This window comes from Homo sapiens, chromosome 13 (genome assembly GCF_000001405.40).
Source record: "Homo sapiens chromosome 13, GRCh38.p14 Primary Assembly".
Lineage (NCBI taxonomy): Eukaryota > Metazoa > Chordata > Mammalia > Primates > Hominidae > Homo > Homo sapiens.
In genome coordinates this window covers 100,730,452-100,743,295 of record NC_000013.11, presented here as the reverse complement: position 1 = coordinate 100,743,295, position 12,844 = coordinate 100,730,452, and the positions used below count along the sequence as shown (strand labels likewise).

At 40.6% G+C, this 12,844-nt stretch overlaps 1 long non-coding RNA gene across 1 annotated transcript in view, besides 1 other annotated feature; it reads right to left on the bottom strand.

The window, feature by feature from the left end:
* The window catches only part of NALCN-AS1 (NALCN antisense RNA 1), a 350,962-nt gene that overhangs the window by 315,991 nt on the left and 22,127 nt on the right, over positions 1-12,844 (bottom strand). The window contains exon 2 of the long non-coding RNA NR_047687.1: positions 2,668-2,739. This is a non-coding gene — a long non-coding RNA (NALCN antisense RNA 1). The remainder of the gene's footprint in view (positions 1-2,667; positions 2,740-12,844) is intronic.
* Positions 4,450-5,095: an enhancer, noted in NCBI's record as "OCT4-NANOG hESC enhancer chr13:101390455-101391100 (GRCh37/hg19 assembly coordinates)". NCBI's record gives its function as "activates a minimal SCP1, AML or CMV promoter by ChIP-STARR-seq in naive and primed H9 embryonic stem cells {active_cell/tissue: H9 hESC(naive and primed)}" and the evidence as "EXISTENCE:reporter gene assay evidence [ECO:0000049][PMID:30033119]".

Genomic DNA, 12,844 nt, shown 5'->3' with positions numbered 1-12,844 from the left:
CTACATCAACCATCAGTCATCAACACTGTTAAACAAAGAAGAAATTCTAAAAATTCTAAGGAATTTTGCAAACATTACGCATTCTTCTCATGCTGAGATATTTGTTTTTTGAGGAAGGACATACACAGCCATGTGGTAACTTGTTTAATAATCAGGATTCATATATTCCATCTTTTTCCCCAGGAAGGAAAAATAATCCCATGCATAGAAACTGTCAGTGAAGTCCTTGTTTCATAAGGGGCAATCTGACTAAGGTTGTCCCAGAACACCTTTTTATATCTATATGTGTTTTTTTGTGTGTGTTTTACTTTTTGTTCTCAACATACTCATTGCTCCACAGGTATGGCCTAATACAGTACATGGTGGTGGGTGTCATGAAGACACGTTACACTTCGAGGGCCTGAATGATTGGGGTCAAAGGCTCTGTGGACAGTTTTATAGCCCAAATCACATGCACTGTATCAAAGTCATCTGGTGTGTACTTTATATAGTTCTTCTGGTAGGTGACTATTTGGGTGGGCTCAGTAACTAGTGGGATTAGATGAATGTCTCTGACCAGCTTGGACACTTGTTTCCAGTGCTAGATTCAAAGCCTGGCAACATGTGTGGGCCTCTAAGAACAGGGATTCCAGAGCAATCCTGCAAAATGGTTTGGGTTGAACAGTCAGGCAATGTCCATTGCTGTTACTCACTTTCTTATCCTGTTTCCCCTTTGATCCCACCCAACCAGTGGTGTGCTAGTAAATGTTCAACAACTGGCTCTCCAAATAATGCATGGAAATATATACATACATGAGGTGATTACTGATTTTACTGATATACATAATGTGTATCATACAATTTACAAATGATAATAAAGTCTACAATTCATTGTAAATTCCATATAGCCCATTGATTCTCATTGATTCTCAATGCTTTTCTTGATTTTTGCCAAGCTCTTGTTTTCATAGCCAACCTATGTTTGCAGCTGATATATGAGTGCAGTTTTGATTAGAATGTTGACATTTTTGCTTGCATTAATAAGTATGGTGAAGGTGAAATAATGAAGATATACGTAGAAACACTACCTGATCATCAATGATTGGAGCAACTTCTTTGCTGATTCAGGTAACAGTTTTCTAATGCTAAAAGAATATTTCCTCAAATTTTTGTGCTATTGACAATGTAATGGCTACAGACATGACAATCTTTAAATTTAATATGGATAACATTAAGAGTCATCAGAACAATAAATCAAGCTTCGATTTATAGCAGTTGCCAATTTCCATGGCACAAATATCCCCACTATGGCTGACTTTAAGCTACCAAGCTGATGTCCTTGATTTGGGAAGAGATGCCCAGTAGTGCCCCATGATATACTATTTGGATGATATAAGTGCAATAAATGTAAGTAATTCAAAAGGTCAGATGATATTAAAATAAGTAGAAAGTACTGAGGCTTTGAGTACTGTATTTTTAATACAATTTAATTACAAGTTTAGACAATTTAATAAACCTGCTGTGTTTAACAAGGGCTAAAAATTCTGGAAAATTTAACGATCAGTTCTTGCAAGCTATTAGAAGTCAGCTCCAGCATGCTATGCCATCAAACCCATAATAGGTTAGGTTATACCATGGACTTTTGGGAATGCTCTAAGCTGTAGGTAACAGGGTATATGACTAAAGCGTCTAGAAGATAGCCCTATGGAACTCAGTGATTTTTTTTCATATTTGTAAAGTACTTAGAACAGTGACTAACAGATAATAGATGTCAATAAATATCTGTTGAATTAAGTTTATTAAAATAGAGGCATTTAGTAATCACACATTGTGAGAAGTCTAGGCACAGATGATTCTAGAGCTGATCCCTCCAGGACTCTGGGTCAACCACTCTGTGAGGTTCTTGGCCTTTTCACTTTAGCTGAAAGGTGGCCACCATAGCCCTAAACACCAAATTCTCACAGCAAAATTTCTAAGAAAGGAAACAGGGAACAACCAGATTGATGACTGATGTCTCCTTGCCATTTTCCTGTTTTCTCAAGTAACTAGAACAGAATCCGCAGCAACTCTTTTCTAGACCCTCTGATGGGAGATGGGCAAAAAAAAGGAGGTTGGTGTTCCTATGACAGTCAAATAATTTCCCTGGTTTCCTACTAGGCCAATTCAAGGCAAGGAATCAAGTAATACAAATATTTATTTCGGTCCAAATATCTTTTTCTGACTAATGCATAATCATTATTCTGGAACTTTCCATTCTCCTTGAAGTATTTTGAAAATAAAATCTGCAATGACTCTCTCTAATTACCAAGTAATTACCCTTAGAAAGAAATCTTCTTTCTACCTTAATTACCTCTTAAGTGTTTATGTACAACTTGACTGAATGTGGTCTATATCAGATTACAAATTACTGCAGTCAAATTCTTTATAAACATAATTGTATTCTTTAAATCGCTTATAAAAATTTCCAAGTCCATAAAACATTTCGATGAGTTACAATAAGGGAATTTGAACATCTTTAGGAGTATATTTTCCTGGGTTTTGAGTACCATATATGTTGTGATTAACAAAGAGAGCAATTGAAAGCCATTCACACATAAAATGTTTATACCCAAGTAACCTTCAAATATTTCAAAAAGCCCCTTTCTACCCAATACTCAGAAAGCGCCCAAGGAAATAAATGCAGCTTACCTTGGGCTCCCAAGGTAAGGCATGGATTCTGGTCACTGGAGAAGATTCCCATCTGTCACCATCCAGACACATCTGTGGCAGGGAGAATCCCTGAGTTCAGGAAAAGACAGCAAAGACATGCCAGAAATAATATCGACCAGGATTGACTCTCTTTTCAAATCAGAAAAGAGCCATAGGACTTAGAACCACAAGGGATTCTAGAGATGGTTTTCCTCACTTGTATCCAAAACTATGTTCTCCATTGTCAGTTCTTTCTGGGAAATGATTTTATACAGAGGATATCAGATTTTTTTTGTTTTACTCAAAACTTCTCAGGGGGCCGGGCATGGTGGCTCACACCTGTAATTCTTGCACTAGCACTTTGGGACGCCAAGGCGGGCAGATCACTTGAGGTCAGGAGTTCAAGACCAGCCTGGCCAACATGGTGAAACCCTGTCTCTACTAAAAATACAAAAATGGCTGGAAATCACTTGAACCCGGAAGGTGGAGGTTAAAGTGAGCTGAGATCGTGCCACTGTACTTCAGTCTGGGCAGCAGAACGAGGTTCTGTCTCAAAGAAAAAAAAAAAAAAGCCAACAACCACTTCTCAGGAGGCTTGTATACTGTGAGTCTTTAAAAGGTATGTGTATAACTACCTTTTCCAAATCTGATGTAACTATAGAACTTTTTTTGAATGGAACACTTTTTTTTGTTTTTGTGGGAAAATATATATACATTAAATTTATCATCTTAACCATTTTTAAGTGTATAGTTGTGATAAGCATATTTATATTGTTGTGAAAACAATCTCCAGAAATTTTTCATCTTGCAAAACTTAAACTCTGTATCTGTTAAACAAAAACTCTGCATGTCTTCCCCTACCCCTGGCAACTACCATTCTACTTTGTTTCTATGAATTCTACTACTCTAGGTACCTCGCACACATGGAATCATAGAGTATTTATCTTTTTATGACTGGTTTATTTTATTTAGCATAACGTCCTCAAGTTTCATTCATGTTACAGCATTTGTCAGAATTTCCTTCCTTTTTAAGGCTGAGTAATATTCCATTGTATGAATATACTACATTTTATTTATCCATTCATTCACTGATGGACGTTTGACTTGCTGCCACCTCTTGGCTATTATGAATAATGCTGCTACAAACACAGGTGCACAAATATCTCTGCGAGATCTTGCTCTCGATTCTTTTGGATATATACTCAGAAGTGGAAATTCTGGATGCTTTGGTAATGCTATGTTTAATTTTTGAGGAACGACCACATTTTTTTCCATAGCTGCACCGTTTTACATCCCCACCAACAGTGCACAAGAGTGGAACTCCATTTTATTTTTTATTTTTTATTATACTTTAAGTTCTAGGGTACATGTGCACAACGTGCAGGTTTGTTACATATGTATACATGTGCCATGTTGGTGTGCTGCACTCGTTAACTCGTCATTTACATTAGGTATATCTCCTAATGCTATCCCTCCCCCAACCCCACGACAGGCCCCGGTGTGTGATGTTCCCCACTCTGTGTCCAAGTGTTCTCGTTGTTCAATTCCCACCTGTCAGTGAGAACATGCAGTGTTCTTTTTTATGGCTGCATAGTATTCCATGGTGTATATGTGCCATAGTTTCTTAATCCAGTCTATCATTGATGGACATTTGGGTTGGTTCCAAGTCTTTGCTATTGTGAATAATGCTGCAATAAACATAAGTGTACATGTGTCTTTATAGCAGCATGATTTATAATCCTTTGGGTATAGACCCAGTAATGAGATGGCTGGGTCAAATAGCATTTCTAGTTCTAGATCCTTGGGAACTCCTTTTTTAAAGAACACTTTAATTAACATAAAACTTAATAAACACCAGTCTAGTCCAAATCCACCCTTTTAAAATGGAGAAGTAGAAGCTCATGAGGGGAGGGACTTGTGCAATATCCCACAGCTCCTCAGTGGTGAGTCAGCCAGGGGCTTGCAGGGAAACAGACCACTCAGCTTCAGTTATGGAGAGAATTGAATATCGGAATTGCTTACAGAGGATGGGCAGCACTGCAGGGTGCCAATTAGGGATATAAAGACACTCAGGAAGAGCAACAGTGAGAAACACTTACCACCCTTTGGCCTAAAGAGGAAAAGATAGAAAACGGCATAATTGAACCCAAGGAAACCTAGCGCCTTGAGGGCAGGTTGCTCAGCAGGAGCTGTCCTTGGAGGATGTGGTCGCCACCAGAGCCACAGCACAGAAGAAGCAGGTAAAGAAATACCCCGATTGTTCTCTCCTTCTGGCCATTGATCTCCTGCCTGGCTAAACCAACCCAACGCCAGAGGGCAGGGGAACAGAGAGCATATACGGCTAAGTCCCTGAGTCCCAGAGAACAGAAATAGGTGAGGAGGAAAGATAAAGGAGGGAGGCTGGTGTTGGATGGACAATCTGGGGTGTCTGACGCAGAGGGTGTCTATAGGTGGTTTTCTACACTCAGTGTTTGTCATAGAAAATTAAAAATTTAGAACGTTTAGAGCCAGGCCTGGTGGCTCATGCCTGTACTCCCAACATTTTGGGAAGCTGAGGCTGGCAGATAGTTTGAGCCCAGGAGTTCAAGACGAGCCTGGCTAACATGGTGAGACCCCTGTCTCTACAAAAAATACAAAAATTAGCTGGATGTGATGGCACATGCCTGTGGTCCCAGCTACTCAGTAGTCTGAGATGGGAGGATTGCTTGAGCGTGGGGAGTCGAGGTTGCAGTGAGCTGTGATCGCACCACGGCACTTCGGCCTGAGTGAGAGAGCAAGACCCTGTCTCAAAAAAACAAAAAACAAAAAAAAAAGAAAGAAAGAAAAAGAAGAAAGAAAAGAAAGAAGAATGTTTAGGACATTAGAAAAAAGAAAATAAAAAAATTACCAACAATCTCATCACTCACAGAAACCCAAGTTAACATTTCTGTTTCCAGTGTATAACGTGTTGAAAGATGATATTGACATATGAAGTTGGGCCTGTTTTCACCGCTGTGCAACGGCAGCTCCAGAATGTCTACAGAAGGAACAAAGTGGCTGAAAGAAAGGACTAGACGTGAGTCCTGACATCACACTTACAGAGCAGGCACACTGGTTTTAATTGGATTGCGGGTTTATTTCGAGACCTATCTGGAGCTGCCAATGGAGACAAAAGGCTTTATCTTGAAGCTGCCATGTGCAGAGAGGCCTGCTCGTTTATTTTGGTAAGGTTCAGGAAGAAGGTGATGATTTATGTGGCAGATGAAAGCTCCCCTGCTCAAGGCACCCCCTTGACAATGCTGTAAAAGAACTAATATGAGGGTTCTTGGGGAAGGGAGATAATATATTTTACATGTAGAAGAATGTGAACCGTGGTGGCCAAAGGGCAGATTGTGTCACATTATGTCTTCCAAACATCACCGCCACAACCTGCCCCATCCCACTTGCCCTTCTGGCAACATCACCTTGACACTTTTCTTGTGGTGGTAGTCTCAGTCCTCTCTTCTCGAATCTGGACAAAACTTGGGCTGCTGTCACCAGTATAATAAGTGAAGCGACTATGAACTTCCAAGGCTAGTTCTTAAAAATGCCACACACTCCTGCCTTGCTGTCTTGGGACGCCAGTGCTTAGAACCCAGCCACAGTGAGGAAGCCCAAACCAGCCCATGTGGAGACGGCCCATGGAAAGGACACCTCTAGGCGTTTAGGCTGATAACTCAGCTGATAATGAAAGCTACTTGTGGTTTATTCTCTGGATTTTTCCTTGCCCACTCCAAGATAAGCCTTTGTGCTTTCTTCCCCCATGAATAGAATCAGAAGTAGATAGTTCTCAAATCCTATCACTCTTTTGGAGATTACATCCTGAGGACAGAAAGGAAAACAATTGGTGTTTGGAAAAGGGAGAGGGGACATAAAAGGAATGACCATATATAAGGGAGAGTCCACCATACTAGAAAACTAGAACAGGGGTAAGCACAGGAACTTCTAACCCACTAAGTCCCTCAAAATGGCCAAGGATGGTGGCCAGACCTTAGGGGAAATGGCTGCTTGTTGTATAGACAGCGATCGGAGTCCCAGCCCAGGACACTGCTTTGGCAGAGATTTCTGGATCCATGATGGCAAAGAAGGTGCAAAACTAGCAATGGGCCTTGGTGATGGGTTTCTCACAGGTAACCAGGTCAGGCTAGAGGTCAGCTTCCAGGATAACTATTCCTGCTTATGATACCCCAGGACCTTTCTATATAATGGGGTACCCCCAAATGACTGAATTTTTTGCCAATGATGTAAGATGGTGGCTTGGAGTTTATTTTCATTTGACATTTAAAAAAAATGTTCCAAAACAGATTACTAATCCCTCCTACATGACATTCATAGAAATCATTAAAAAGATATAAAAAAGTAAACACGTAAGGGCATAGTCATGATTGGAAAGAAGAACACAAACTCTGGATGAACCAGAACGATACAGAATCTCTTTTTTTCTTTTTGAGATGAAGTCTAGCTTTGTTGCCCAAGCTAGAGTGCAGTGGCACCTTCTCGGCTCACTGAAACCTCCGCCTCCCAGGTTCAAGCAATTCTCCTGCCTCCATCTCGCGAGTAGCTGGGACAACAGGCGCATGCTACCATGCCCGGCTGCTACATTTTGTACTTTTAGTAGAGACGGGGTTTCACTATGTTGTCCAGGCTGGTCTCAAACTCCTAACCCTGTGATCTGCCCACATCGGCCTCCCGAAGTGCTGAGATTACAGGCGTGAGCCACTGTGCTCGGCCCAGAATCTCTTAAAATTGGAAAGTAGGCAGGCATAAAGAAGAAAAACTGCAGCCTAGCTGGGAGTGGGAGAATTCTGCTGTGAGCCTCAAGGGGTGCCCCCGACCAAGAAGGGGGGATCCAGAAAGAGGAGGAGGAACTCAGAGTGGCCAAGGTGAGCGCAGCGTGGTAGGGCAGCCTCCGGGCAGGGCACCTGCACCCATGGATGCAAGTGTATGCCTTCCCCAGAGCAGCAGGTACAGGAACTCTGGGAGCAAGAGACGCAGCGCAATGCCCCAGATATGCCTGCCTTCCCCAGAGCAGCAGGTACAGGAACTCTGGGAGCAAGAGACGCAGCGCAATGCCCCAGATATGCCTTAAAGACCCACTGTGAGATGTCATCTCCTTACACACCACAGGAGCCTCTGCCAGGCTCACTAAAGCCAGTGTAAAGCAGCAGCAACAATGGCAGTTCCCACCCCATCTCAATCATCTGCGTGAACTATTATAGCAGATCTTCTAACAGGGAAACTTGGCATTGATTTACATAAGCAGAATCAAATATTCCAGCAGATCCAGCATCAGAAGATAGAAATAAGTGAAAAAGGAAAAACTTTCATTAAAGAAGTAGGTTGGTGAATAGAAGCAGTGTGTGTGTAAGTGTGTGTGTGTGTGTGTGTGTGTACATGCACATATAAAATATCTTTAAATATTTAAGGACATAATGTGTGCGATCACAAGAATAGAAAGAGTCTGGGCGTGGTGGCTCATGCCTGTAATCTCAGCACTTTGGTAGGTCAAGGCAGGAGGATCGCTTGAACCCAGGAGTTCAAGACCGGTATGGGCAACAGAGCAAGACCCCATCTCAAAGAAAAAAGAACCAATCAAAACTATTGGATGAACATTTTAATTGTTGAAACTTAAAAACCTAGTACGTGGGTGAAAAACAAAATAAGCACAGCTGAGAGGCAAATAGATTGGAAAATGGAACCATGGAATTTGCTCAAAATGACACAAAAATTAAGAGATTTGTAGAATAAATCTAGTTCCAGCATCCATGTAATAGGAGTTACAAAAGAAGAGCCTGGAGAAATTAAAAGTAAATAAAATTTTAAGAAATAGTTGATTAGAAATGTACAGAATCGAAGTAAGACATGAGGTCTCTGAAAGAAGCCATCAATACCCAGCAGGATAAATATTTTTAAAATTATCCAGACACAGTTGAGAAGAGAGAACATTTGCATCCACATGGCTTAAATATTAGGACCAAGGACAAAGACCACCTGTTTCAACATAACTTAATTATTTGCTCCAGGAAATCCTTGCCCAGAAAGATAAAGCTGTAAACCAATAAATAACTGCTATTTACTTTAGGAAATTCCTGCAAACCAGTTTGTCTGGGCAAATAGTTTGTGCATCTGGCCAGTTTTCCTCACAGGACAGCCATGTTTTCATCTGGGCAAAGAGCTCTTTTATCAAACAGTTTACTTATAAATATTTGCTTTGAGCCCCTAGCTTCACTGTGGCCACAATCCTAAACTATCAGTTACGAACTTTGCTCATCCCAGTCAATTCCCCAGCTTGAAAGAACTGCCTCAAATCTCATGAGCTCAGACACCAAAATGCTATAAATATCCTCTCCTTACTTCTCCCTTTGAGCCATTGCTAAGGTCTCAAAGTGATGGTCTCCCTTACAGTAAGTTTAATAAACTTAGCTTTGCTTTATCAAAAGGTTATTTTGATAGATATTTTGGGAGTTGACAGTTGAAAATCCATGAAGAAACTTCAACATTAAAATAAAAAGAAAATCCTTAAAATCTTCTGGGGAAGAATAAACTGGTTATTGACAAAAGAAAAATAATATGGTCAGGCATGGTGGCTCATGCCTGTAATCCCAGCACTCTGGGAGGCTGAGATGGGTGGATCACCTGAGACCAGGAGTTCGAGAACAGCCTGACCAACATGCTGAAAACCCGTCTCTACTAAAAATACAAAAATTAGCCAGGTGTGGTGGTGGGCACCAGAAATCCCAGCTACTTGGGAGGCTGAGGTATGAGAATCGCTTGAACTCAGAAGGTGGAGGTTTCAGTGAGCCATTGCACTCTAGCCTGGGTGACAAGAGTGAGACTCCATCTCAAAAAAAAAAAAAAAAAAATCTGATTGACCTCAGCCTTCTTGACAATAACCATGGGCACAGGGAGACCTTGGAGCAATTATCTTCAATATCTAAAGGAAAATAATTTTGAACCTAAAATGTTCTAGCCAGACAAGCTATCTTTTAAAATTGAAGTCGGCAAACTATAGCCAATGGACCAGCCCCATTTTTACAAATTGTTTTGGAATACAGTCACACCCATTATTTATGTAGGTATCATTTGTGGCTGCTTTTGCACTACCTTGGCAGAGCTGAATAATTACAACTGAGACCATATGGCCACAAGTCTAAAATACTTACTATTTGGACCATTTAAAAGGGCTTGCTGACACCTGCTTTAAAATAAAGACATTCAAAAACTAACAGATGCTGGCGAGGTTGCGGAGAAAAGGGAATGCTTATACACCAATGGTGGGAATGTAAATTAGTTCAGCCACTGTAGAAAGCAGTTTGGAGATTTCTCAAATAACTTAAAACAGAGCTACCATTAGACTCAGCAATCCCACTATTGGGTATATGCCCAAAGGAAAAATAAGTCTTTTTACCAAAAAGACACATGCGCACGTATGTTCACTGCGGCACTATTCACAATAGCAAAAACATGGAATTAACCTGGATGCTCATCAACGGTGGACTGGATAAAGGAAATGTGGTACATATACACCATGGAATACCGTGCAGCCATAAAAATAATGAAATCATGTCTCTTGCAGCAACCTCCATTATCCTAAGTAAACACAGGAACAGAAGACCAAATACCATGTGTTCTCATTTATAAGTGGGAGCTAAGCATCGGGTACACACAGACATAAAGATGAGAACAATAAACACTGGGGACTACTAGAGGGGGGAGAGATGAAGGGGGCCAAGGGCTGAAAAACTACCTATTAGGTACTATGTTCACTACTTGGGTAAGGGGATCATTTGTCCCCAAAACTTCAGCATCACTAAATTTACCCATGTAACAAACCTGCACATGTACCCCTATATCCAAAATAAAAGTTGAAATTATAAAACTTTCTAAAATTAAGATAAAGACATTTGCAGATACGTAAAATCCCATAAAATTTACTATCCAATGATCCTCCTTGGAAGAATTACTGAAAATTATGGGGCAGTGGGAGGGACGGTTCCAGAAGGAAGAGATGACAGGTATAATGCAATGAGCTATAAACACAATAGTAAAATTTATTTTTACATTAAAATAAGTAGTAAATGTTTAAGCTTTATGTTTTGACATCCCATGCAATGTTAAAAGCAATGGAAGCAGGTGAGATTTTAAGTAGGGAAAACTAAAAGGTCAGTAAAGTTTTTCTTCTCAGTGGGACTGAGGAAAGCAGAGGAAAAAGATAATTGCAGACAAAGCTTATTAATTCTAGATAATTTCTAGGTAATTATTAATTCTAGACCATGTTAAGTATTTAAGTATTTGATATAAAATATGTACATTTCCAACTTACAGAAAGTAAAAGTGGAAAAATGAACCACTAATTAAAGGCAACTAGAAAGCCCAGTAGGAGAACACAAATTAAGAAAATAAGAATAAACCCAAACATACCAGTGAATTCCATAAATATAACTAAGGGACTTAGTTCATGTATTAGTCCATTTTCACACATACCCAAGACTGGGCAATTTACAAAAGAAAGAGGTATAAAGGACTTACAGTTCCACATAGCTGGGGAGGCCTCACAATCATGGTGGAAGGTGAAAGGCATGTCTCACATGGCGGCAAGGGAAGAGAGCTTGTGCAGGGAAACTCCCATTTTTAAAACCATCAGATCTCGTGAGACTTATTCACTATCAAAAGAATAGCAAGGGAAAGAAGCGCCCCCATGATTCAATTACTTCCCACCAGGTTCCTCCCACAACACGTGGGAATGGTGGGAGTTACAATTCAAGATGAGATTTGGGTGGGGACACAGTCAAACTATCAGTTCAACCTTGTGTTGATGATGTGTATACTTTGTGGCTGGCATTATTATAGGCACTAGAGACACCACTATTGATGGCTGTCATGAAGCTTACACTTTAGTAAGGAAACAGACCATCAACCAATAGGTATGTTAGATAATCTCAAATTTAGGTTTTAGAGAGAGAAAAGGCAGAGTTAGGGGCTGGAGAGCAATATAGGTTGGTCAACTTGGAGGCTATTTTCTTAGTCTAGGCAATGTGATGGGGACTTGGATTAGGGTGGTATTTGTAGAAGCAGTGACAACTTACAGAACTGGGAAGATATTTTGCAAAAGATGACAGGATTTGCTGATGGAATCTATGAGAGGTGAGGGGGAGGTTAGGTTAAATTGGTGAAGGGGATCAGGACTTGCCACCCCAAAACATGCCATTTTGGCATAAAAATTATTTTGAGCTGAAGGCAATTGAGAATGAACAGGTGCAGGGAGTTCTCTGCCATCCCCCATCCACCTAAAAATAGGGCATACATTTCCCTTTGTAAAGGTGTCCCCCTCTTCTGTCCCAGGAAGAGGAGAGTGACTCTTATCCCCTGAGATGGAGAGGTGGCACCGAGATGAGTCTGCATAAACACAACTTACTAAAATAACCCTTTTCTTCCATTTGTTTCCCTCCATATATTTCCTCGTCATTTCCCTACAATTTGTTATCCCTTTAAGCCCAAAGCCCCTTTCCTTTATCAAAATGATATTCAGGCCTAGTGTCTGACCCCTTCTTTGAGTTTTACTTCTCTTCTCTCAACTCCCATACACGTAACTATTAATACAAATTGTGTCTTTTGTTTCTTTAATTCACGGGTCCCCATCACTAAACTTAAGAGGGTAGAGGAAAATTTTTTCCTTCCCTACAGCATATTAAAAGGAATATTCAATTTAACATTAAAACACATGCACACACAAACACAAAATCAACTACTTATATCCAGTTTATAAGACACAGAGTATAGTAGACACTTGGGACTCCACCCAGACCCTTTTTCAGCCTGGTGAAGCCACCCCCAGCTGCTGTGGGTATTTGTTCTTAAAGTCTCATGGGCTGCCTGCCTTCTCTAGAGAACTGCTGACTGCAGCTGTCCCACCAGGGTGGTTACCCAACCAAAAGCCCTCCAGGTGGCAAAAGAGGAGCTGTCTTTAATGGTTAATCATGTCATAGGACACCCTGATAGGATCCAATTTCTTTCCTGCATTACACACATTTCTGTCAACTATTATCTTGTAAGAAAGTAGAAATGTTGAGCCCTGTTGGGATGTCCTGATTTCAGTTTAGAGTGGAGTGAAATGGTGGAGTAAAAACTTTTATCTCCATTGCCACATCATTCTGAACCA